This window comes from Homo sapiens, chromosome 6 (assembly GCF_000001405.40).
Source record: "Homo sapiens chromosome 6, GRCh38.p14 Primary Assembly".
NCBI lineage: Eukaryota > Metazoa > Chordata > Mammalia > Primates > Hominidae > Homo > Homo sapiens.
The window spans coordinates 45,931,377-45,957,445 of NC_000006.12; the positions used below are offsets into that span (position 1 = coordinate 45,931,377).

The window sequence follows — 26,069 nt, forward strand, 5'->3', positions numbered from 1 at the left end:
GAAGCAATGTTGAACTTGATTCACTTTTTTTCCAACAGGGCAGCTCAAGGTCAAGCAAAAGGAGGGTCTGACATGTCACTGAATAGCCTCAAGGAAGTAATAAAAGGTTAGATCTGGAAAGGACTGTGAAAGTCCACTATTATGTCTCAAGTCTAAGGTGCACATTTTTTTCACTCTTTAACATCTGTGAAATCAGGCAATGTCTTACAATCAAAATATGAGAGGTTAAGTGAAAACACTTTGTTTAAGTGATAGCATTTTGTTGTTGTTTCTTAGAGGTTTGTTTGTTTGTTTGTTTTTGAGATGGAATCTTGCTCTGTCACCCAGGCTAAAGTGCAGTGGCATGATCTTGGCTCACTGCGACCTCTGCCTCCCGGGTTTAAGTGGTTCTCCTGCCTCAGCCTCCCAACTAGCTGGAATTACAGGTGTGCGCCACCATGCTCGGCTAATTTTTTTGTAGTTTTAGTAGAGACTGGGTTTTGCCATTTGGCCAGGCTGATCTCAAACTCCTGACCTCAAGTGATCTGCCCACCTCGGCCTCCCAAAGTGCTGGGATTATAGGTGTGTGCCACTGTGCCCAGCCAGTATTTAAAATAATAGTGTCGTACAATCAATGACACCTTAGATTAGGCAGTTCCTGCCTCCAAAGATCCAGCCTCTTTTTGGTCCTTTCTGTTGATGGGATACTCACTTCTTTTGCTGGCAGTCCATTCTACAGATTTAATTTTAAAGTTTCTTTTCTTTTTTCTTTTTAGACGGAGTCTCATTCTGTCGCCAGGCTGGAGTGCAGTGGCACCATCTCGGTTCACTGCAACCTACAACTCCCTGGTTCAAGTAATTCTCCTGCCTCAACCTCTCAAGTAGATGGGATATAGGCACATGCCCCCACGACCAGCTAATTTTTGTATTTTTAGTAGAGACGGGGTTTCACCATGTTGGCCAGGACGGTCTCAAACTCGTGACCTCGTGATCGGCCTGCCTTGGCCTCCCAAAGTGCTGGGATTACAGGCGTGAGCCACCATGCCCGGCCTAATTGTAAACTTTCTAATGTTGAGCTGAAGTGTGTAAGCCTAAATTTTCTATACATCAAATGAGGATGATCTTGCTTAATACGTTTACTTTAAGAGTCTTAAGATCTTATTAAAAGGGAGCGAAGGGAAGGAAGCACTGTGACCCCCGGGGTAGGGAGGACCAGAGCCGGCTGCAGGAATCAGTCTGTCGGTGTGGTCACACCAGGCAGTCTGCAAGATGGGAGGACAGGGATGAGTTGTTGGGGACACAAACCATGAAAACCTGGAAGGAAAAGAAAGACCGCCAGTGATACAGATGAGTTCTTTTTCTAGCAGCATCAGCCAGGAGCATGACCCACTGCAGGTGGCACCTCTTAGAAGGAGAAGACAGGAGCAATTTGAAGATTCGGGCCTGAATGGAACAAGAAGACAAGGAAAGAGCGAGGAATGCACCTGTGGCTGGCTTGCCCCTGCTGCCTTATATGAGGGCTCTAGGAGATGAGGAAGGGAAATGAGAGAGGCAGGATGACAGTCATTGATATTGTGTTAATAAGAACCACAATGTCCTCCTTCAATCACGTTCCCATTCAGTGGGAATGATCATCCAAATTCTGAGATAAACTCACTGAGGTTCCTAGAATAACCCGAGAGTCTTCTTCCATTCTATGTGGCAGGGACAATCAATTTTTCCAGAATAAGCCCAGGGAGCTTCCAGGTTCCAGAAAGAGGAGCCTCTGATGTGAGCCTTAGGGAGGTGGAAACCTTGGCCTTTATTTGGAAACAGAACCAAGACTGCTCAGGGACCTGTGTGGCTAATGGCCACTTTTTTGTTCCAGCAACAAATTGGGAACCAGGAGGTGGTGGGAACTAGGGTACACTCCCTCGCCCTCTGGTAACCACGTTTGAGCTTGGATTGGAGAGAAAGGAGAAGCAGAGGGCTTAGCCCTAACCAGGTGCTTTTCATCTGGGGACATGTGTCCTGGATTTCCTGGGACAGTACCAATTTCTTATAATTTGATTATTTTCAATGAAGGCAATTTGTTAGGCATCTGATTTTCAGTTTGGAAAACATGGCCACTGCAGTTACAACTGATGAAGGGCAATGCAATCTGAGCACATGCCCAGCACGTCACAGATACCAAGGAAGGTTTTTAGGGCTTTCTTTCGGAAGTTAGAAGCACCTTATTAGGACAAGTATTTTAGGAAGAGTATGTTAGGACATCTCAGAGTCTTCCATAAAAAGAGAACTAGGTGCAGCCTTGCGAGTGAAAGGGGTACATCTTTGCACATCTAGTGCAGGAGCCCATTCATCTTGATGAAAATAGATAAGCCCAGACAGGCTGTTCTGTGTCCCATGTGCTGGGTGGACAGAGAGGGGCAGGGAGGTTGGCGACACACGCCTGAGGCTGCAGGGAGGTCTCCTGAGTCTTCCAGAGAAGATGGAGAGAAAGGAAGAAAGTGAGTTTCAGGTGAAGAGAGAACACAGGGATTGTGAGATCGGGAGGAGCACAGCTCACAGGTGGGGGAAGATGGAGAGGAGTCAGAGCAGCAGGAAGTCAGCAGGGCCTGGAGTCTACAGCAGCCTGAAAGAGAAGTCACAGGAGGGGAGAGCCAAAGAAAATGGAAACCACAGCTCCTCCGTGCCTGCGGCTCACAGCAGGAATATTTGTTATTCTTCTGGGAGGCTGGTTTGTTTTTATCTTCTAGGAGGACCGAGCTGCAGCTGACCAGGGGCCCTGTTTTGCTTTGTCTGCTCACAAGTTTAGAGCCAAATTTGTGGTCTACCTTCTGTGTGGCGCACGAAGGCCCCGGGGCTGCCCTGACTGTTTTAGCTCACCCAGGGCTCCATTTGATGGTTGTCTCCTTGTTTTTCTTTCTCACCTCCTCTTGGCCTTTGTTGGTTTGCCGTGCTTTATGCATCCCTGGGAGTAGCTATAAAGCCTTTCTGGAACAAGTGGAGTATAAATTTTAAAATAGAAAGAAGGCCCCCCAAGACAGAGGAATACAGAGGTGGAAATAAGAGAGAAAAGTGGACTTGAAGGGGGAAGAAAAGAGGGAATTCAAAGGAAGCCTTGAAAGACTAAAACCATCCAGATTGGGCAAAACACCACTTAGTGCAGGTCGCCTGGGAGGCCTGAGAGAGCTTAAGCCCCAAGACTGCATGTGATACAGATGAGATACTATTGCCCCTGGGGCTTTTCAGACCTCTCACTAGGGGAAAGGGAGTCCTGTGGAAGTGGGCTGCGCAAAAGGAGGTTGGATGGAAGGTGGTCAGCGTGAATAGAGCAGGAGAAATACTGAATTTTTGTCTTAGGCTACAGGCATAGGCATGCCTACTTCCTCTCCAGCTAAAAAGAAAAGGGGCAAAAGCACATGAGAATATGACACTGGCACCAAAAACAAGGATGGTAATTCTTGGTAGGACATTAACTGTATCTGAGGGAAACATGATAGACCTGGAAGAAATTTTAAAAAGGGGTAGGAGACTTTTCAAATTAGTTAATCAAAATAGAGCATTCAAGATGCACATTAGATCCATTTGTTAATTACCTGCCATATGCGATGGGGACAGAACATGAAATAAATCATGTGTATTGCTAGGATTGAAGCATAAGGAAAGAGAGATTGTGGAAAATAAAGTGAAATATAGCACTTTCTGCCTAGATTATGATAAGTAACTAAAATGAATTTCTTGAAAACCAAGAGATTTGCAGGGATTTTTAGAGTCTGTTCAAATGGCAGATTGAGGGTAAGAAATGCAAAATGTAAGACAGATATTCAGAGGGAGAAGTCCACATCCTCTTAGGAATGACAGAGAGTGGGGGACATGTTAAAGTAGGTGTCAAAGAAACCCCTTTAGGGAAGAGACAAACCCAAGGAGCCAAAGGGGTGTTCCAGTGGCAGGCGGGGAGGGGTGTTTCACAGCGACGCTTGCTAGAGGTGGAGGCACTGGCTTGCAGAAGGTGGAGGCCTGGGCCCTTGCTGAACTCCACCATGTGCCAGGCAGGCTGGGTAGAGAGCATGATTAAGGGGGAGGACAGACCTAACTGCTTGCTAATTACAGGGATGCTGCAGGATGTGCCAAAGGGGCATGGATGACACTGTGCCCTCCCTCAAGCCTTCTACTTCAGCACTCTATGAACCTCCAGGTCTAAACCCAGGGCATAACTTCTCCCTGCAAGATTGAAAAAGTGAATGTGGGGCTCAGAGGAGGAACCCCTCCAGCCAAATCTAAATGCAGTGCTGCTTTCTCCCATCTCAAAGATGCTCTTTCGCAGGACCACGAGCACTCTTCCCATGTGGGTTCCTGATCCAGTTCCCTATCATCACCCACTGGTCCTCCCCTTTCTAAGGGAGCAGGGTTTGTGCTTCCTCCATCAGACTGAGCTCTCTCTGGTTGTGTAGAATCTGAGTAATGGGTGGATTCCACATGAGAAAAGCAGACAGAAAAGGATATCCAAGAACACTTTCAGGGAGCTGCACATAGCAGGCAAAAGTCTCCCAGGACCTTCTCTGCAGCATTTTATAACACAGATCACTCTTTTAAAACAACAACAACAACAATAAAGCTTGCTTTCCCATCTTTATGCCCTCCCCACTACCCCCGATTTCCTCCATCCTCCCTGGCTAGTCCTTCTTTCTCTTCCTCCTTGACTCCTCTCCCTCTGTCATCCCATCTATGTGATTGATCCTTGGGCATCGTCTTAATCATCTAAAGATGTATAACCCCTCAAACTGCATTTTTATACCAGAACTCTCTGCTAAGGTACAATTGTCTACCCGAGATAACTGCTCAGAACAACGGCTGACTTTTTTTTTTTTTTTTTTTTTTTTTGAGATGGAGTTTCACTCTTGTTGCCCATGCTGGAGTGCAATGACGTGATCTCGGCTCACTGCAACCTCCGCCTCCCGGGTTCAAGTGATTCTCCTGCCTCGGCCTCCTGAGTAGCTGGGATTACAGGTGCTTGTCACCATACCCTGCTAATTTTTGTATTTTTAGTAGAGATGGGGTTTTGTCATGTTGGTCAGGCTGGTCTCGAACTCCCAACCTCCGGTCATCTGCCTGCCTTGGCCTCCCAAAGTGCTGGGATTACAGGGGTCAGACACCATGCCTGGCCCCAGCAGCTGACTTTGAACGTGGTAGTGGGCATTATTCCAAGCACACTTATGAGGTATACACAGTTATTACCCCCATTTCACAGATGAGGAAACTGAGGCATTACAGAGTTGAAGTAACCTGTGCCATGTTACAAGGACAAGAGGCAAAGCTGGTGTCTGAACTCTGAACTCTAAAGTAGTTGGCTTTAGAGTCTGCAAGTTGAGCCATACACAGTCACCTGCCTCTCTGCATAGGAAACACAGCATGTTTAGAAACACCGTCCTTATCCTTCTCCCCAAAACCAGGCGTGTGGGTGAGAGATCTTAGAGCACAAGAAAACGAAGCAACTTCCCCAAGTAGCACCTGACTTAATGTGGGATCTTGCCACCGAGTCATGAGAAAATCCAGTCTACATTTAAGTGAAGTGAAGAGCAGGTTGGAAAGAGTGAGAGGAGGGGGCATGGAGGCAGTATCTGGTTACTGCAGACCAAGGGGACCTGGATCTAGAAATTACAGAGGAGGGGTGAGTACAGTGATAGGCCTAAACACGGAGCACAGAATCGTCCCTCAGGGAACAAAAAAAAATGCAAGGCTGCTGAGGTATGAGAGTTGGGCCAGGCCACTGACGCTCCTTGATGACACTTTGGAGAGGAGGACCATGCACCAACAAAGTTTAAAAAGTAGAAAATAGACTGAATGGGTGGGAGATTTGGAAGAGCTAACTGAGGGGGAAGCAAGAGCTGAAGCAGCAGTTTCTGATGTCATTATTCATCTTAGTCCCATTTTTGTGCTAATAGCAATAATCAGAATAATCAAATTTAACAGTTACGAGGCCAGACACTGCGCTAAGGGTTTTACATGCGCTGAGTTATAAAATAGATGAACCTGCATTACAAACCTTGGTGATATTATTAATTACCTTATTGCCAGATAAAGAAACTGAATGTAAAGTCCATTTTACAGATGCAGAGCCAGAGGCTCAGAAAGAATAAGCCTCTTGGGTAAAGTTGTGCAGCTAGAAGTGCTGGGATTCAAACCCAGGCCGGGAATTGCACATGTACTTGTTTTACAGCTCCCTGTAGATTGTTAGTTCATGGAGGGCAATGACTTTGTCTCGTTGCCTTGGCAACTCCAGAACCTAGCACAGTACCTGGCACATAAGCAGTGCCCTTTAAATATTAGCTCGGACTTGTAGTCACTTTATATAACTTGTGGTTTTTTGAATGAATCAGTGAATGACTGAATGTACAAACTAATGGATGATTCTCTCCATTACTCCAGTACTGCTGGGATGGCTCCCACGGATGGGGTCTCGGTTGTGGTAGCTGGGGACTTACAAGGCTTTGGGGAACAACAGGGAAATTTTACTTGGTGGTTCCTGTAGCCACCACAGGAGTGGAGTGGAGAGGTGACCCACCATGGAGAACCATGTAACAGTGTTGGCTTTTCTCATGCTTTCATTTTGAGAGGGCAGAAAAGGATCATGACCTGGGCCAGTGTGTGTATGGGGGCTGGGGCATTAGTGACCAGGTAGAGGGGAGGGAGGGCTCTGCTCAAGAGAAAGTAAATGAAAATACAAGAGAAACCCTCTAAAGAAAGAAAGTTGGAGAACTAGGTGCAGAGCTGAAGATCCAGAGGGAAAAAAATGGCAAAGTAATGTAGGGCGGCATGTGGAAGGAGGCCTGGGCCTGAATGCTGATGCTCTTGGGGAGAGGCCACAGCCATGGAGCTCACACAGAGCAGAAAGGGGATGGACCATCTCCCGGGTCAGGGGCTGTGGGGCTCTGGGACCGTAACACAGGAGCCATGCTGCTCTCTACAGGAGGGCAAGCCTTACAGGAGCCTTCACCTCTGGCTTGCTAAGCCTAAGAATTTTGGACCCAGTTGACCACAACTCGGGGGTATTGGGTGGGAGGAAGGACAAGTAAAGAGGAAGGGAGGGGTGTGGGCAAGTTATAGTTCCAGGGAAGGAATGTGTGGTGTCTTGTTAAACAGAAGGTGGAATAGCACATCTGGGGACAGGCTCTTTGGGAAAGCAGCAATGTTGGAGCTTTGAAATGTGCAAATGAGTTAGGGGAAGCAGGAGTCACAAGGGCAAGTCTCATTACAGAAGAAAACAGGGTGAAACAGAAGAAGGGGAAACAATGAAAATTGGAGAGTACTGAGTTTATAAGAAATGGATATGCGGCATTTGGTGGAAACTGGCTTTGGACTTGGGAATAGGAGAACTGTAAATATGGATAATATGTAAACACCATTTATAATTTTAAAAATCTGGAGGGCTCAAATGAGATAATCTTTCTGAGGGCACTTTGACAAGTATGAAAGAAGATATTTGTGGCTAAGAGGAAAGGATACTGGGTGTGGAGTCTGAAAACGAGGGTTCGAGAGCCAGCTCTGCCTTGGGGGTAGACAAGTCATGGGTCTTCTCGTTTGGTTCTCTGTCCTCAGCCGGGAAAGCAGCAATGACTCTTCTTTCCCACAATGGCTCTGAGGGGCCATATTCATTTCCTAGGACTGTTACAACAAAGTACCACAAGCTGGGTGGCTTAACACAACAGAGACTTTTCCCCTTACAGTTCCAATATCAAGGTATTAGTAGGTGTCCTTCCTTGCCTCTTCCAGCTTCCGGAAAGCTAAGAGTTCCCTGGCTTGTGACAGCATCACCCCAGTCTCTGACTGTCTTCACATGGCCTTCTCTCCTCTACATGTCTGTGTCCTCTCCTCTCCTCTTTTTTTTTTTTTTTTTTTTTTGAGTTGGAGTGTCGCTCTGTTGCCCAGGCAACAGTGTGATCTCGGCTCATTGCAACCTTCGCCTCCTGGGTTCAAGTCATTCTCCTGCCTCAGCCTCCCAAGAAGCTGGGACTACAGGCATGTGCCATCACATCTGGCTAATTTTTGTATTTTTAGTGGAGACGGGGGTCTCAGACTCCTGACCTCAGGTGATCCACCCACCTTGGCCTCCTACAGTGCTGGGATGTAGTCAAGAGCCACCACACCTGGCCCCTCTCCTATTCTTATAAGAACAACAGTCATTGGATTTAGGGACTACACTAAATGCAAGATGATCTCATCGCCAAATCCTTAACTAATTACAGCTGCAAAGACCCTATTTCCAAATGAGGTCACGTTCTGAGATCCCAGGTGGACATACATTTAAAAAAATTTTTTTAGAGACAGGACCTTGCTCTTTCACCCAGGTTGGAGTACAGTGGCATAATCATAGCTCACTGCAGCTTCGACCTCCCAGGTTCAAGCAATCCTCTTGTCATGGCTTCCTGAATAGCTGGGACTACAGGCATACATCACCTTGCTCAGCTAATTAAAAACAAGTTTTTTTTTTTTTTGTAAAGACAGGGTCTTACTATGTTGCCCAGGCTAGACATGAATTCTGGGGGGACACTACTCAACACACTATAGGGTTCAAGCAGCAATGAAGCAAGAGCACCAAGTAGATTGAAAGTACTTTCCACATGCTTCTTCTTATTTCCCAGAAGCCACTCTCTTTCTAGTTTCTTGACACACACCTCTAATGGATGTCATTGCCCACAAGATAAAAACCCAAGCCCTCCAAGCTGGCACTGTGGGCTTCAGTCACTTTTTCCAGTCTCTGTCCCTGACTTTTTCTCAACTTCCCCGCATCTTCTGCTCAATGATCTCAGCCAACTGCTTCCTTCTTAATCTTTATGACCCAGTTGAAACTCCCAGAAAAGGAGTCTCATGCATTTACCCCCATGGTAAATGCTTCTGGTTCTGAATACCTTCGACAGAAATTATTTTGTTCTTTTACCTGCAGTTAATCAGCTCTCCAGACCCTCTTGGATCAAACTGACTTGAAGCCTGTCCTTCTGCATCTGCCAGGCATTGAAGACTGAGGAAGTGTTTGTTTCTTCTTTGGACCTCCAGAACCAAGTTTTGCACTTGTCACAATCTGGGTCCTGAGTAGCTTCCTGAATTATTTACTTCCCGATACACCAACTCTGTTCCTGCCATGATTTCGTCTCTTTTACCATGCATAGCTGCATATGCTGGTCGCCTTGATCCAAAGAGATGCTATTCTCCTTGGAGCTTCTGGGGCATCTAGCATCTATTCCCTTGTTTTGGTCCATTGTGCATCAGTCACTTGTTCATTCACAAAGATTCATGGAGCACTTAAGTTGCTTGGCTTTGTGCTGGACTCCAGTCATCCAGCCTGTGAGGCTGTCCTGTCATCCCATTCTGAGGGCAAGGGAATGGCTGCCATTGCCCATAGGATAAAAATCCAAGCCCCCCAGGTTGGCACTGCAGTGGCTAGCCTGTTCCTCCTGGGCCTAACACCGTTCTTCAAGTGTTATACCTGCTTAATTGGACGGTTCCATTCAAATGGCTTTAGGTAATTCTTAAAGGGCAATGCCAAATGAAGGACTGAAAGTGCTGTGAGCATAACTGGGGGGGACTCAGCTCCCTTTCAGAAGGCCCCGCAAGAGAACCAAGTCCTGAATTCTGTAGCCAATGTCAGAAATGAAGGGCCTGATGTAGGATGGGCCAGGCTTTGAGGAGTGGCTTTCCAGGGCCCACTGTCCTGCAGAAGGGGAGAACACAGCCCAGGTCTGCCTTCCACATTTGCCACAGTAGTGACTGTGCTGCCTCTCCCTTGGCCTCTGGAAAAATCCCTGGAGAAACCTTGTAGGGACCAGAAGGAAGCGGGAATATGTTGCTCTAATGTGATCACAGGCAGGGTTGGGAACTTGGGACAAATGGGCAGTGAGGACCGTTCCGTGCAGTGCACTATGCTGTGCAATAAGGCAGGCTCAGATGACAAAGAGCATCCCTCTCTCCAGCTTGGCAGTAAAGCCCCAAGCCTTTCCTCCTGCACCAGCTAGGCAGCAGCATCCACCACCTCCTCCCCTGTGTCAAGGGGGACAAGATGGTGGTGGCGGGGGGTGGGGGCAAATAATAAGCAGTATTGGTTCCAGATGCTTCTCTGGCCCAAGTATTTGACATGCCTATGGGCAAATTGAAGATGCCTTGGGCAGCAGATAGACCACTGCCAAGGGTTCTTGGTGGAAGGGAGTCACTCACCAGCATTGTTCTGCTGCTTGGTATTTTTGATGTAGGCAGAAAACTTGGAAAAGATGTCGATGCCCGCTGTGTTGGATTCCCGGTGTTTTGCAGCCAGTTTGGGGTACCTGGAATGGAGGATGCAGTGTTCTGTGAATCAGTAGACTTGGAGCTCCTTTAAGGGTGAGCCTATCCCTATCATGATAAGCAATACTTCCCTTTCCAGCTGCATCTACAAAATGTTTTGGGGGTCTTTATCCTCATACTATAGGGAGGGTGGGCATTCTCAGCCCTAGGGCATCCATAGAAGAAACCAGAGGCCAGTGAGGTGCTGAGATCTGCCTAGGGTGACACAGTCTGCTAGGCAAAGAACCAGAATGCCATTCAGGGGTCTCAGGATGTGTCCTTTTCTTGGGACCACCAATAAGGATGTGCCAGTGGGATGGCGCAATCAAAGTTCCCTCTGAGCTTGCCTCTCTATCTGGTAGGGTTCTCAACACTTCCCTTACCCGCTAAAATAACCATCTACTGCCAGTCCTGTGATTATAATCCTAGCTACACAGAGCTAATTCTGGGAGCAAGGAGAAGCCAGGTATGTTAGCATTAAACCATTTCTCCAAAGGAAGAATACCCACGGTCCTCTTCTGAAATGCCCTTACATGCTTATTATTTGTGTGCAGTAATAACATGCAGAAACTACCAAGCTCCAAAAAAGGACATGTGTTTTCAATTGTTTTATTTTATTTTATTTGGAGATACATTTGCAATGATCCAGCCCCCCTCTCTCTCTCTTTCGTAGAGTCTTTCATTTTGAAGCCACAATAATACAAGAGGCAGGCTGGAGTTAGAACGATTGGCCTTGAGACTGAAGGAGGTAAACTTGCTCATGTGGGAACCCAGGGCTTGGACTCATTAGCCCCATCAAAATGAAAAAAATCAACTCAAATAAATATTATTTCATAAGCATTTTATGGGTATGGCCAGGTAGTGGTGGGAAGAGATGGGAGACAGTCGCCAGGCTATCATTATTTTCAATGAATGTGCACCTCTGTGATCTCTGGGTGAATCGTTTTTGACTGTGGGCTGGTGGGTTGCCTTACGTTTAAAAAGCAAAATCCTTTTTGTTTGTTTTGATGTTTTTGATAGTTCGAACCAAACAAGACTTTAAAAAATATTTGTTGTTCTTTAATGCTTTTTTGTTACTCAACTGGCCCATGAGCTAGGATTCCTTTTGGGGCCCCTTTTGGGGCCATGTTAGGTGGCTGTGTAATTTCAGAGATACTGCCATTGGAAGAGTCCAGCTCTCTGCTGTGAGGCAGATAAGGAAGGCATTATTGTCCTCCTTTTACATGGAAGGGAACTGGATACCTGAGAAGATAAATGTTGATGGCTAATAAATGGTGGAGGGACGATGAGAACCTGGTTTCCTGGCCCTACAGCAGTGTCCTTCCCCCTCCACTGCTTCTCTGGAAACAGTGAAAGGTAATTTGCATTGAGCACCTACTGTGCAGCAGGCAGGCACTGTTCTATTCCCTTTACACGTATTCACCATTTACTCCTCAGAACAACTCTATTGGTACTATTATTAGCCTAATTTCCTACATGAGGAAACGGTGGCATAGAGAGGTTAAGCAATTTGCCTGAGGTCACATGGCTGCCTGGCAGAGCCAGGATCCCAACCCAGGCAGTTTCACTGTGGAAGACTAGGTTTTAAATTCCACATTGTGTGGCTTCTCATAAACTCCGCTGTTGATTCTCAAAGCCCCAGAACCTTAAAGGCTGAGCTGCCCACCTTGGAGGAGCTGTCTCCATCCATCAGGAGGGGGTGCTTTGCACCGATGCTCCACACACATGTCTTCCTGGGTATACTGAGAATCACCACATTCATCTGCTGTGGCTGGGGGCACACAGCAGGGCTTCCTGCAAGATACTAGGTAATCTACCAAGACACAGGAATTCAGTGTCATCTCTTTCTATTTTGGCCTTCTCACATAGAATCCAGCATGCTATTAGAATCGATAGACTTAAATTGCTATTAACAAATGCCAAGTGTTCTTTGTTTCTCCTTGATAATGTAAAGACAGAAAGGCCTAGAAAATGCACCTCAGTGGACAGCTTGTTTGGGTTTCTTGCTTTGTTTTGCTGTATCTCATCAATTGGTCAGACTTTCAGTCATCTGATCATTTCTTCACAATCAGGTTGGGCCAAACAGGGATGTGTGGTACCAAATCCAAGATGATGACAGAGGATCGTGTATTCAGGGGGCTGTGGTGGTGTCATCCTGTTTCCCAAGCACTAGGACTCGTTGTGATTTTACTGTGTAGTGCAGTGTTCCATTTGAGCTTTGTTCTTGTGGGAAGTGCGTCTCTAAGATGTTAATCTCGCAACTTTCAGTAACTACACTGGGGGAGGATACTATATAGGATAAGTGCATTCATTTTACCTCCATATTTATGGCGTGTTTTAAATATGCAAATAAGCGGGCTACAAAGTACATTCTGTTTCTCTAAAAGGCTAAGGAAGAGTGTTTCACTCACAGAAACAGCTTTGAAATAACATTGGATGTGATCTGATGATAATCAAAGAGATGATAATTTTTTCTAACTCAGGAGTCAGCAAACTGTGACCCATGACCCCTATTTGTCTGAGGTTCTCAAGCTAACAATGGTTTTCACATTTTTAAATGCTTGAAAAAAATCAAAAGGAGGATACTGTTTTGTGATACGTGAAAATAATATGAAATTCAAATTTCAGTGTTCATAAGTAAAATATTATTGAAACAGCAATGCCCATTCATTTACATACTAGTTTATGGCTTCTTTCACAGTGTCACTGTGGAATTGTGACAGACACTGAAGGGCCCACAAAGCCAAAAATACATGACTATCTGACCTTTTACAGATAAAGCTGCTAACTCCTGATCTAACTGATGAAAATTTCTCTCCACCCGGTTTTTAGGATATCTTATTTCAAATGCATGCACTTAACTTTCATTCTGGGAAGTAAAACAGTTGGCTTCTCACCAAAAAAAAAAAAAAAAAAAAAAAAATTTTTCAAAAGTAGAAAATAGTAGCAAAAAAAGAGAAAACCATTGCAGATGGTAAGTGCCCTATCTGGTTTAGAGTCCCAGCTGACTTCTCACTGACTAGCCACAGCCAACCAAGACACTGAACAAAAGGATACCCACCATGCAATTAAACCAATGTGCATGAAACACCTACTGAGGACTAGGCCCTGAGATTGGTTTTGGGGATAGATACCCTGGAGAAAAAGAAAGACGGTCCTGATGGAATGGCCTTGCTGATGGCAGCTTAAGTGTTTTCCCTCCTTTTTCTCACGAGCTGAAAAGTGGAAAGACTTCCTCTCTCTCTCCCTTCTCCATTGTTCCCACTTCCTTACTTCATCAACCCCTCACACGTGAAGGACGTTAATGCATCTGACTTTTCTAATCCTTGACTGTGTGCTTGTTTGACTCATGTCTGCTGTGTAAGCAAAAGATCTCTGGAGGTGGAAGAGGCCTGGCTTATTCATTAAAAGATATCCCCTAGGATCTGGGGATTTAAGACCTAAGGTCACCAATTGTCTGTACAATTGCACCTGGGAGACAGACCCAAAACAGGCACTGGCCACTCTTTCTAACTCCTTGAGCTTCCATTTAATGAGCTCTTACTTCATATCAGGCTCTAGGCTCATTAGTATTATTTTTTACAATAGCCCTATAAGATCAACAGTATGGTTCTTGTTTTAAAGATGTGAGAATTAAAGATTCTAGAGAATTCAGGTCATTTGCCTGTAGCGGAGAATATGCATACTCACTAAATAGCCATGTAATTCTGTTTCCCAGCTTCTCTCTCACCTAAGTTGGGATCACGTGTGGATTCTGACCAATGGCATAGGAAGGAAAGTAATGTCACCATGACATTTTTTTTGCAGGCCTGGCCCTGCAAAACACTTTGGGAGATCTTTCTTCTCTCTCTCCCTGAAGGAGCCTTGGAGGGCATGTATTCCAAAAACTACAGGATGGAAGAGGGCCACCCTACCCTCTCAGAATTTGCTCAAGTGAGAAATAAACCTGTGTTCTGTTAAGCAACTGGAATTTTATGGCCGCTTTGTTACTGCAACATAGCACAACCTAGTGGTATGGATTTGAACCCGAGTCACTCTGACTCCAAACCTCCTGCCCCCAGCTACCATGCCATCCTGTGGGAGGTCTGGAGGCTGTTTCTCTACCTCCCAGAGGGTCAGAACTTTCTTGTTTTTTACTGTGGTGAGTTATCGCTATACATTTTGTAAAATAATGAATTCAAGTTGTCTTCCAATTCTGTCAGTGTTCTGAACCCTGTTGATACTTAAATCATTCTTGCTAGATGACTGACTAAATGACATGCTGTGTAAATAGACTGTATCAGTTTACCCTCCTGAATTTTTATTACAGCATCTATGTGCTAGGATTATTTGAGACAATAACCAGCTCTGGAAGAGTACTTTGAGAAACTCATGGAATTGTGGAACATGCAACAAAAGACATCTTGGAGACTATGTAGTTTCACCCCCTCATTTTAGAGATGAGAAGGCAAGGAGGGTCTGAGCGGGAGAGAGGCTTGTCCAAGGTCATATGACAAACACTCATAGAGAGGTGGCCAGAGGCAGGGCTCCTGACTCTCAGTGCTGAATCCTAGAAACTTTGGCCACTTCAGGAGATGAAAGGCAAGGGCCAGAATGTCTCAACAGTAATCCCAGCATTAATCACAACACTTCCTTGTCGAGTGTTCACTAGATCAATCTAAGGAGAGGGATGGATGTTAGTCTCATTTAGAAACAACTTGAGACTTCCTGGATTCCTCATTTTGACACCAAATGCTCCCTGGGATCAAATGTGATTTGAAAAAAATGGTTGGAGTGTTTGTATGTGGTTTTCTCCTTTAAAAAATAAAGCTAAGGGAAAAAGCCTCCCATAATGTGTTGGCTTTTGGCAGCTTTTACAAATAGTGGTATGATGAGAAACACATGGCCGACCAGCGCTTGGTGAATGGTTATGAGGGTTTTGCTGCCCCCTAGAGAACCAGAAGGCCAGGCTGTCCTGCTCCAGAGGCCTGACAACCTCCCAGCCACTCCATCTCCCAGCCTGAGTCGCTGGGGAAGCTGGTGAGGCTGGTGGTTTGTTCTGGGCAGACCAGCAGGTCTCTATGGGGCTGAGGCACTGGCTTGGTGACATTTACTGGGAGGTAATTGTGGCACCTGCCTCAGTCTGATGGGTGCAAAGGCATCTAAGGTATAATCCTGGGATGCTCTGGAATACTTGATGGCCTCACCCTTGGCGCCCCCACCTTGGTAGGCTTCTGGAGATATGCATTTTAACAGCATCAAGCGTTCTGCTACCTGAGAGTAGTGGATTGTTAGGTCACTAACATGGCAGGAATGCACTTCATAAAACCTCCTATACACAACTGCAGTCCAGAGAAGGACCTGGACCAGCGGGAGCAGAGCTCAGGACAGGGAAGGTAGGTGGAGAGGAGGGAGTGGAGGGAGGGTCCACATCCAGCCCTGCCCAGCTCTATTTGGATCATGGAAACTTAGAATCTGATGAAATGATGACGAAGTCAGATGATGACTCGCCTCTGGAAGAATGTTCAAGGACGCATGGGGCATACAATTCCAGTGATCTCTGTCCACCTTGTGGTCCCACCGTGGTTGCAGATTGGAGACCCCTGAGTTAGAGAAGCAGCCCAGGAAAGGCACAGTTGCACTGGGGGTGGTGTGGTAGTGGTGAGGGAACCTGGCTAAAGGGCATGTGAAGAATCAGAGAGCAAGAAGGGCTCTGGGAGATATCCTGTCACAGAGAAGGGAACTGAGTCCTAGAGCAGAGAAGAGACTGGTTCAAGAGGTGAAGGGACTGGCTCAAGAGGTCACAGCACATCACTAGCAGACTAGGATTGTACCCCAGCCCCTCACCCCTCCATCCACTGCCTGGCAACAGACCAAATGGGCCCCTCTGCTCCTCACTGCTTCCACTTTCCACTTCCTAATGATCATGACGGAAGCCCCCACTCCTGAGTGCCAGTGTTACTTCTAAGAGGGAAAATGTTAACTGCGTCATGAACTTTCCTCTATGGGTCTCCCAGGCAAAGTCTAAACTCTAGTTATTGAAAACAGCATTTTTTTTCATGTGGGATTTCAAATCAGTGCTAGCAATGAGGTTGAGTCCCGGGGAGGGGGATGGAGTCTGGGCTCCCTCAGGGCAATTCCAGTGAAGTGGCTGGCTGGTGTCCTCTTCAGAGATGTGTGTGTGTATGTGGGGCTGTCCTATTGATTTAATTAATGCACTTATTTAGAGTCTATACTCAGCTGCTTCCAATGGGCTTGAGGTGGCTTTTTCACTCTCAGTGTGCAAATAAGCTGACTGAATATGGATGACAAAGAATATTTTTAAGGAAGAATATATGATTGTTTAAGGCTTATTTGGAGCATGACTGGCAGTTTTAATTTTTTAACAGCAATTCACTAGATGTGCAACCTTGGGTAAGTGACTTACTCTCTCCCTGTCCTGACTGTGAAATGAGGATAATGATAGTACCTAGGATGCTAGAAGGATGAAATGAATCATATTAGCTAAGTGTTGTGAATGGTGCCTGACACAAAATGAAGGCTATAAAAGTGTTGATGAATAAATAAAACTTTAAAATAAATGCAGGATGGTGGTTTTTAGTAGTCAAATCTCACTAACTTTACTTACTCAGTATGTCCTGAACCCTTCCTACTCCTCTCCCCCGATTTTCCTGCCCTGTCTTGGCTTAGCCCTTCATTCGTCCTGCCTGGACAGTCACCAATGGCTCCCCAGAATTAATTCCTCTATCTCCAGCTTCATGGTCCTCTAGGATACCGACTTCCCTCAACCTCTAAAGTAGGTCTTAAAACGGACTCCCCACCTCCTGTGCTTAATCCCTTTCAGAATATCCCACAGGACTCACTACAGGATAATACCCTACAGGATAAAGTTCATGCCTCACTCTATATGTAATATTATTTTTCTAGTTTTTTCAAAAATTGTGATTGTTTTAATCCTTGATAATAGTATTCTTTAATGAACAAGTCTAGCTTGGGTAAATTTTAGAAGCCATCTGTCTTCTTTTTACTGCTCTTTTCCATCAGTAGCAATGTGTCACCCAACAAGAACTTATAGCTCTACGGTCTATACTCTCCCTGAACCTGTTTGCAGAAGAGGAGCTGCTGCTTTTAGTTGATTTTTTTCATCTGTTTAATTGTGGACTCAGACCAGATTTGGTCAGGTTTAAGACCCTGGATGTTGTTTTAAGTCACTGGGTTACCCTTTCCTGACTTATTTTCATTCTGTCAGGCTTTCGGCTCTGGTTCTGAAATGAAGGAAACTTTGTCCTCACTTCAACGTCTTCCAAGCAAAGTGAGCTGGAGAGAAGGAACATACTGGGGCGAGGGAGGCCTGGTATCCTAGGGCTCCTAAAATCACTCTGTGTAGGTAGGAGTGACTGGCTCTTGTTCATAGGCCATATCTACTCTTGAGTGGATTTTGTGGAGTGGTTTTGAGATTGGCAGCCCTTTGGGGGTCCTAGGCTCTCTCTTTGAAGAAAGGGTCCTGTTCTCTGGACTGGTGAGGTTCCTTTGGAAATGCATCTGCCCGAAGTTAACACCAGGACTTTATAGATCCAGCATGAACCCTTCCCATTCAACAGCCCCAGAAAGAAACAGATCCTTACTTTTCAGGGGTCAAGGTCTCCTCCAGGAACTCCTCGATCTTATTGACGTCTGTCTTCACGTCCCCGTTGAAGGTCAGGAAGGGCGGGTGCGTGCCGGGGGCTAGGTTGTGCAGGTCAGCTGGCTTTCTGTAGAGAGAGCAAGATTCAGGTGTTGGCTTACAGCAGGGTGCTTCCTGTTCTGGGAAACCTAAGATTGATTGTAACTTAGATGCCCTGTGCTATCCAACATGCCTGTCAGGTGAAACAGATTTATGGTATGCAGTATAGGGCAGGGGAGGTTGGAGAAAGTTCTGAAAGAATGTGGTGTGACCCAGGAAGTGTGTCCAGTGGAGTCAGTGAGAGAGGAACAAGTCAAGATGAAGGAGTTGAAAAAATGAAAGAATTGAAAAAATGGAGAGAATCCAGGTGACTATCTAAGTCAGATCCAAGCTTTAATTACCCAGGGGAGAGGTGGGGTTTTGCTTTTAAAAGCTCTTTCACCAATCTGCCTAACAAAAATGCGCTACACATAATTCCATACTTTAAAAATTAATGAATTAGATCATACTTTTCTCCTAATAAATATCTCCAGATACAAAAAATTGGGAGTTTGGGCCATTTGTTCAAGTTAGATGCTTCTATTGTGTGTAACTTATATTTTAATATCTAATAACTAATGTCTAACATTGGTCAGCCTTTTGTCACACTCAACAGAATACTCTTTTTGAGTTATAAACAGCCCCTGATATGGTCTTTGGGTAGCCAGGAAAATAAACAAACTATTAGATTGAAAACAAAACTATTAAATGAAGATGTTTTCAAAAGTCTTCTTATTGCTAAGATTATTGCTCCACAAACACCAGGTAGGCTATTACCAAGGATTCTGAACCAAGAACCTCCTACTGGTGAGTAAGAAGATACCTGAGAGAAAGCCTTACGATTCAAGCTCCATGAGGGAAAGGACCCAGAACCATGCCTGGCATATAGGAGGCCCTCAGTAGATACATATTTTTAATGGCTACATGAATAAAGCATGCATTTTTGATTCAGCTACAGTGGCTCATGCCTGTAATCCCACCACTTTGGGAGGGTGAGGTGGGAGGATCACTTGAGCCCAGGAGTTCGAGACCAGCCTGGGCAACATAGCAAGACCCCCATCTTTACAAAAAAAAAAAACAAACAAAAATTTGCTGGGCATGGAGGCATGTGCTTGCAGTCCCAGCTACTTGGAAGACTGAAGCAGGAAGATTGCTTGAGCCCAGGAGTTCGAGGCAGTTGTGAGCCGTTGATGGCACCACTGCCCTCCAGTCTGGGGGACAGAGTGAGACTCGGTCTCAAAACAACAACAGCAATAAAAACTCATACATTTTAAATTTAAAAATGAGTGATTTTAGCTGCAAAAGTAGAAATCAAATGTTGGTCTCAAATTGGTAAAAACTTCAATCCAGTTATGAAGGCTTTCGGCTTTCAGTTAAATGTGGGGAGAACCAGTAGGCAACTCCACTGCTACAGTATTCATGCTCCACCATAGTCTACCTTTCACAGTATTTTAACTTAATTCAAGCATCTACTGTTCTCAAAATAAGACTTATTTTGAGAACATTTACTAGATTTACTAGAAAGAAGTTATTTTTCTTTAAATTTTAAAAATTCTGTTCAACATACATAAATCAAAAATCTCCTAGGAGTCAGAAATTGTGCCTATTTTTAAAAATTATGGGGTTACTTAAATGTTATCTTAAGTTAAAAACAATTTATTTTCTAAGTAAATGCAACTTCTGCTTTGTGATGGGATTCAAATAGATCACTTGATTTATGAAAGTTATTTCTTCTTATAGCAAACTTTGCTGGGCCCAGTAGGATCTTTTAGGTAACACATACATATATATGTAATAGGCAGCAAATTTGCTCCCTAAGAAGACAGAAAGCTCTTTGGTGTGCCTGTTAGTTTCTGGGTCAGACACTTAAAGAAATCCAAGATAACCAAAGCAACAGTGCATTTCTCCCCCCTGGGAAAGAGGAGACCCAAGAGTCCTAAATTATCCTGAAAGAAAGGCCTAGATGATGGAGAAGTGGGTGAAATTCTGGAACGCAGTCCCAATTGAATGAATGAACAATTAATTAACTGAACAATTAATTGAACTTCCTGCACTTAGCCCACAGCAGTGCTAAGTGGCATTTCTGGCGTGCACTGGGGAGCACACTGACTACCTGCAGGAAGGCCAAGTGCAGTGGAAAGGAAAGTGGCCTTGTGTTTGACACGGCTAGGTCCTGTTAATATCCAGGAGTGTGCTTCTGTGTCTGCGCCAGCTGGTCAGAATGCAAGAGCAAGAATGGAGCAAAATGAGGGGGAAGAAGGTTTGGCAGATTGGGGAAAATGGGAAAGGGGAGGGTTACACTAAAAATGTTTAGGGAAGAGGAGGGAAAATGGTGGCGACTTCCAAGACGGTGCTGGGATTCACCCCAAATGCTCTCTCTGAGAATGCCACATTTCTTGTGGGAGTCGGGAGTGGAAAACATTAAACGCAGAAACTGTAAAAAAAGTAAACAGTGGGAGTAGAGGAGTCTGTAATGAAACAAATTCCTGGCGTAATCAGTTTGGGAGGGGAAGAGAAGAATTTCAATTACTGTGCTACTCCCATGTCCCTCCCCAAACACACACACTCTCCAGCTGCATTCTGAGGCACTTGGAACTCAGACAACTGAGACGGAAAGTATTTTTAAAATCTAATTTACTTAGTCCCTTTATTTACTTTGTGCATGTCCCTCATTTTAGACAATGAAAGGACATTCTTTATTTGCTCCTGTTTTTTAGAGCTGACACAAGGCAGCAACGTGTGTGCTCTCAGTCACCTCTCTGTGGCTTACAGATACAGGAATGTGTGGTGGTGGTGATGGTGGTGGTGGTGGGTTTTTTCCTGGGATTCTGGAGAATTGTGGCCACTGGAGTCAGACGCCCTTGGGAAGTACTGCCTATGGCCACCGACGCTTAGCTAGAGTTGCAGCCCTCTGTCTTTGTTGACCCTGCTTCAGTATTTATAGTTGAGACTATATCATTAGCATTGGATGACGTATTGCCAGGTATGATTTATGAATTATGTAATGAGGATCGGTCTTCTTTTCCTTACTGGATTGCCAGCTCCATGAACCCAGTGATAATTCTAAGAATAACCAACATGCAACGAGTTCTTGCTATGAGTCAGGTACAGGACCAATTGCAAATGTTTTACATGGCCTGCCTCGATAAATTCTCACAATAATCCTATTGATTAAGAAGACACTGTCTCCATTGTACAGATGAGGAAACTGAGGCTCTGAAAAGTTCAAGATTATTCAGTCACTAAAGTGTAGTGCCAGGAAAATAAATCAGTTTTCTTAGAAATTAATGTGTGTGTTCATGGGTAGAGGGGGCAGTAAGAAAGTTTCCTTATCTGTAAAAATGGAGTGGTGCTACATGCCTGGTCTACGTCAAAGGGGTGTTGGCTGGACCAGGTGTGATCATGTGAAGGAGGAACCAAACCATCTGAAGCACGCGGGCAGGGGTGGTTCCCTCTCCCACTCTCTTCTCCAGCAAACATACAAGTCCTCTCTCACACATGGTAATCCAAACACCTCCAATTCTGCACTGAAGGAAGCTGCTTTTTCATAAGTCTGCTGCTCTCTTTAGTTATCACAGACATTAATTGCATAGTGGATGCAAGTTCATTTATTTGACAGATAGTATTTGAGGACCTGTGAAAAACTAGTTTCTATGGAGGATACAAACAAACTTAAAACACGATTCCAGTCTGTCCTTGAGGGATTGAAGGTCTCATTTGAAAGATGAAACAAACTTCATAACTGAGGTATTATGAAGAGCATAGTATTTGAACCAAGCAGATGGCGTTTAGCCCCTCTAATTTCTAGTTGGCATCTTGGGCGAGTCTCATATATATCTGTCTCAGTTATTTCTCAAATAACACGGAGAAGTAAGACCTCCTTCACAGGATTATACATTATGTGATTTTTTTTTAATGAGAAAGCATTTACCAGTTGTAAAGCATTAGGGGTGCAGACCTCAGAACTTGATGAAACACTAAATCACGACACAAGGCAACATAGACAACAGGTGCTGGGTGAGTCTGGAGGGAGGTTGGGTTGACAGGTGTGCTTGTATGAGTGTGGTGGGATGGGTATGAGTAGGCCTTACAGAGGGGATGGGCTGAAGCTGAGCCTGGGGCCAGGGACAAGAAGGAAGAGAGGGCCTGTTTTAGACAGAGGATGCAGTTCTGCCAAGGGATGGAGGCTCAAAGGAAGAAGAACAGCAGAAGGCAGGCCAGCCTGACAGAGTAGACAGGTCACGGTGAGAAGTGTTGGGAAAGAGTGTTGGGAAGAATGAAGGAAAAGACAAATCGGGGCTTCGGATGCATCAAGTCCATGGACAATGGGAAACATCAAAGGTTTCCTGTGCATGAAAGTGGCCTGATTAAAGCATTATTTTAGGAATAATAACCTTAGAATCACATAAAGGATGGGTCAGAGAGAGAGAAAAAGAGAATGTGTGAACCTGGAAAGATGAAGACCAGTTTGAAGAACAATGAGACTCTCAGGGTGGCAGTGGTGAGACTTGAACCAGTTGTAGGCTTTGAGAATGAAAAAGAGAGTTTGGAGGAAGAGAGAGTGCAATAGGAGAATGCTCTAGACTTGGCTACTGATCAACAATGAAGGCAGCAATAGAAAGGAGCAGGAAGTGTTTAGTGCCTAGAAAATAGAAGAAAAAGACCAGGAGCAGTGGCTCACGTCTGTAATCCCAGCACTTTGGGAGGTCGAGGTGGGTGGATCACAAGGTCAGGAGTTCAAGACCAGCCTGGCCAAGATGGTGAAACCCCGTCTCTACTAAAAATACAAAAATTAGCCTGTCATGGTGGCATGTTTCTGTAATCCCAGCTACTCGGGAGGCTGAGGCAGAGAATTGCTTAAACCCAGGAGGCAGAGGTTGCAGTGAGCTAAGATCGTACCACTGCACTCCAGCCTGAGCAACAGAGTGAGACTCTGTCTCAAAAAAAAAAAAAAAAAAAGAAAGAAAAGAAAATAGAAGAAAAAAGGAGTTCAAGAAGAGCTCAACTCAGAGGAAAAGGATACAAATTGATGTATGCAATGTTAGACATACATGATAAGAGAACATCCAAGTGAAACTATCTAGATGATAGCAGGGCTCTGGGTGTAGAACAATTCACATAAAGATAACAAGGAGAATATGCCAAGCTCACCAGGGATGAAGGTAGAGGCAGAAGATGAACACTTATGGGGTGAGCCTCGAGCTGTTCCACATTTAAACAACAGGTAGAAGACAGGAAACAGAATACATTCTGTAGGAGTGAAAAGAGTGTGGCTCCTGGTGTTTGTAAGTCATTAAACTGCACTCTAAAAACAGAACAGTAGTTGCTTTTCGTCCAAGCCTGTAATCTAGAACTGTCACACTGAGGACTTCTAAAGCTGGGAACATAGCATGGGAAAGGGTCTAGATCACAACTCTCTGAAGACTCAGACTCTCACACCTGAAGTCCTGCTAGGGTCCCACGGATGATGGCCTTAGTACTACTGAAATGACTAATCCTATGTTTTTAGATGTCTGTGCCCATATGTGCACCAGAAACTTAGTTGCAATGCCATTGTCCATTCCTTGCTTCTTCTTTGCTAATCGTAACTTGCTAATCGGGTCAGTGAAGTGCTGGGCACCAAGTGAAATACTTGCCTTTGCAGACTCTCTTGTAGCTAAGACTGGATCCTGAGACACAGTTCTGGACAATGACGTGTGAGCAGGGGGCTGCTGGGAGCCACGGAAGGCTTTTGCCCTCCTTCATGGAAGGTTCTCTGTTCATGCAGCTAAACATACTCCTCATTTATGCAACGTACGTTACCTTTTCAGATCCACAGTGGTGACATTGAACACGACTCCTTTCAGCCAGAGGATCATGAAGAGGCGCTGAGAGAAAGGACAGTTGCCGATGCTTTCTCCATCGATTCCAGCCTGGAAAGAAGAGAACCAGTGTCCTGAGTGGGCAGGTGCAATTAGCAAGGGGAACATAAGATTGTAACACCCAAATGCAGGTCTGAGGAGACCTTACTAAAACCATGTCCCAGCAACTTCAAAGGGCGGTAGCCTGATATTATTAGTTTTTGCCTTAATGTCCACGCAGGGCAATGCCTGGCAGCATGTAAGGGCTCAATAAATACTTGCTGAATTGAACTTGATGATTATGCAGAATCATAACTTTATGAAATCATAGAACCCTTGGGGTAAAAATAGACCTGCAACATCACTTAGTCTGACACAAATGATATTGGAATGCCAACATCTACACCCCCAAGTAATCATCTAGTTTCTGCTTGAATATCTCCACTGACCAGTCAGTTGTATTAATATCTCTCAAAGCAGTTCATTCTGAGGATTGCTCTAACAATTAGAAATGCTTTCCTTCGGCTACCTAGCCAAAATATGTTCCTCTGTAGTTTACCCTCCCCCACCCCTCAGTCCTTGGATGTCATGAATATAAATATCTCAGACTTTGATCCCATCTCCCTATATGGAGGCTAATCAGGAAGCTCAAGGCTTTAATCAATACACCACTTAGTTCTGGCTAGTACTTGGCCTTCACTGTCAATAATCCATTCATTTGTTACACTTTTACTCAACAAATACATATTGACTATCAGTTATGTGCAAGACACTGGAGAAAATTAGCCAGGGGATTGAAAATTGAATTCCTCCAAGGAGCTTATGGCCTTCTGTAGGTGGGCTTGGGGATAAGACAGGAACATATGTAAAAATAACAGAATTATTATTGGGTGTTCTGTGCTTCTGTCATTTCATTTCCCTTCCTCAAAACAGTAGGCTTTTTTAGGTCTGAAAAGCAAGTCCATCTTTACTGCACTTCTGAGTGGGCTGCAGATCCCTGAATTTCATAAAGAATTAATTTCAAGCAAACCTATGAACAAACAAAAAAGGTTGGGGAATTGGTCTCTGTAGAATTCATTTCCATAGGGTGGTTTATTGGCCCCCAACATAATACTTAGAGGAAGAAATAACCCATTTGCTCCAGACTCTGATGTTGGCTGCCCTGGAAACCATGGCCCCCGCAGGTGGCCTGGCAGGGCATTCCACTGACAGGAAGGGCCTGTGTGGGCCAGGGTACTGAAGACTCGTACAAAGCTGTAAACAATCCGACCAATATCCAGGAATGGGGGCTTACTGAGTTTTTTTTTTTTTTTTTTCAAAAGAAAGGGAGAAAACAAATGCGTTCTCGAAGCTCAACACACTGTTTTCTCCCTTGAGGTTTGTTTTGCTATGGCATTCAGATGGGGAGGCAGCGATGCCTTCTTTCATACATTAGAACCTCATTGTGTGCTTTTTTCTACCTTGCAAATTGCTCCCAGCAGGGGCTCAGGTTTATAATGGAAAACTGGAACTTTTGACAGTGTTGGCTGCATGTAATTGCTATGAAATTACAGTTATTTTACCTCCCTCTTAACTACACCAAAAGCCCCACTCCCTATTCAGTTCTCACTTTTCCTCAGTGCTGGAAGCAGACCCACCCCTGAGTCTTGAGAAAGCACGGACTCCGTTATATAAAATGGGAAAGGTAGGAGGGTACAGTGTGGGCGCTACACCTTCCCACGGAGGTAAAGTTACCAATAAAGCATGCTCAGACAGGTGGCTATCAATTTAATAATAGCTTGGTGCTAACTTGAGTTTATGATGTACGTTCCCTAGGAACTTCTCAAGAAGCACTTGACAGGTACCAGGTTCTCGGTCCTTTAAGACATCCCGACACAGGAAGAATTTCCCCAGGGCCAGTTATGGTGGAAGTAACAAGAGGAGAACTGAAGAAAAAAGCAAAAACAAAAACAGAAGCCAGATCCATATACTGTTATCTGTTTTCCTCTGGTGGTGGTGGTGGGAGGATAAGGGAATTGAAGGAGGAACTAGCAAAATAGTGGACTTCTCAACTACATAAAAAATTCATATAATAATAATGTTAATAATAACATATCTATATTGTCAGGCATTGTTCTAAAGGATTTACATATGTTATTAACTTGTTTATTTCTCCTGAGAAGCCTGTGAAGTGGGATATTTTCAGCTTTTACAAATGTGGAAATGGAGGCACAGAGAGATAAAATAACTGGCCTAAGGTTATCATCGTGGTGAAACCAGGACGAACGCAGGTG

At 44.8% G+C, this 26,069-nt stretch overlaps 1 protein-coding gene and 1 long non-coding RNA gene across 16 annotated transcripts in view; one reads left to right on the forward strand and one right to left on the reverse strand.

Moving 5' to 3' along the window:
- Positions 1-26,069, reverse strand: part of CLIC5 (chloride intracellular channel 5) — a 248,993-nt gene that overhangs the window by 50,550 nt on the left and 172,374 nt on the right. For 12 of the 15 annotated variants that reach the window (XR_926258.4, XR_007059275.1, XM_047418896.1 and 9 more), the window contains 3 exons: positions 23,759-23,868; positions 17,880-18,005; positions 10,171-10,277 (listed from right to left, as the gene is read on the reverse strand). Coding sequence is in view for 10 of the 15 variants with exons in the window: in XM_047418896.1 (XP_047274852.1) it covers positions 10,171-10,277; positions 17,880-18,005; positions 23,759-23,868 (343 nt within the window). In the remaining 5 variants the exon portion in view is untranslated. Of the gene's footprint in view, positions 1-6,028; positions 6,222-10,170; positions 10,278-17,879; positions 18,006-23,758; positions 23,869-26,069 lie in introns of those variants that run through there. The other 3 variants (NR_045672.1, NR_045673.1, NR_045674.1) reach the window with 1 other exon arrangement.
- Positions 10,248-11,115, forward strand: LOC124901326 (uncharacterized). Its single transcript, XR_007059604.1, has 2 exons — positions 10,248-10,332; positions 10,949-11,115. It is a non-coding gene; the product is annotated as an uncharacterized LOC124901326 (long non-coding RNA).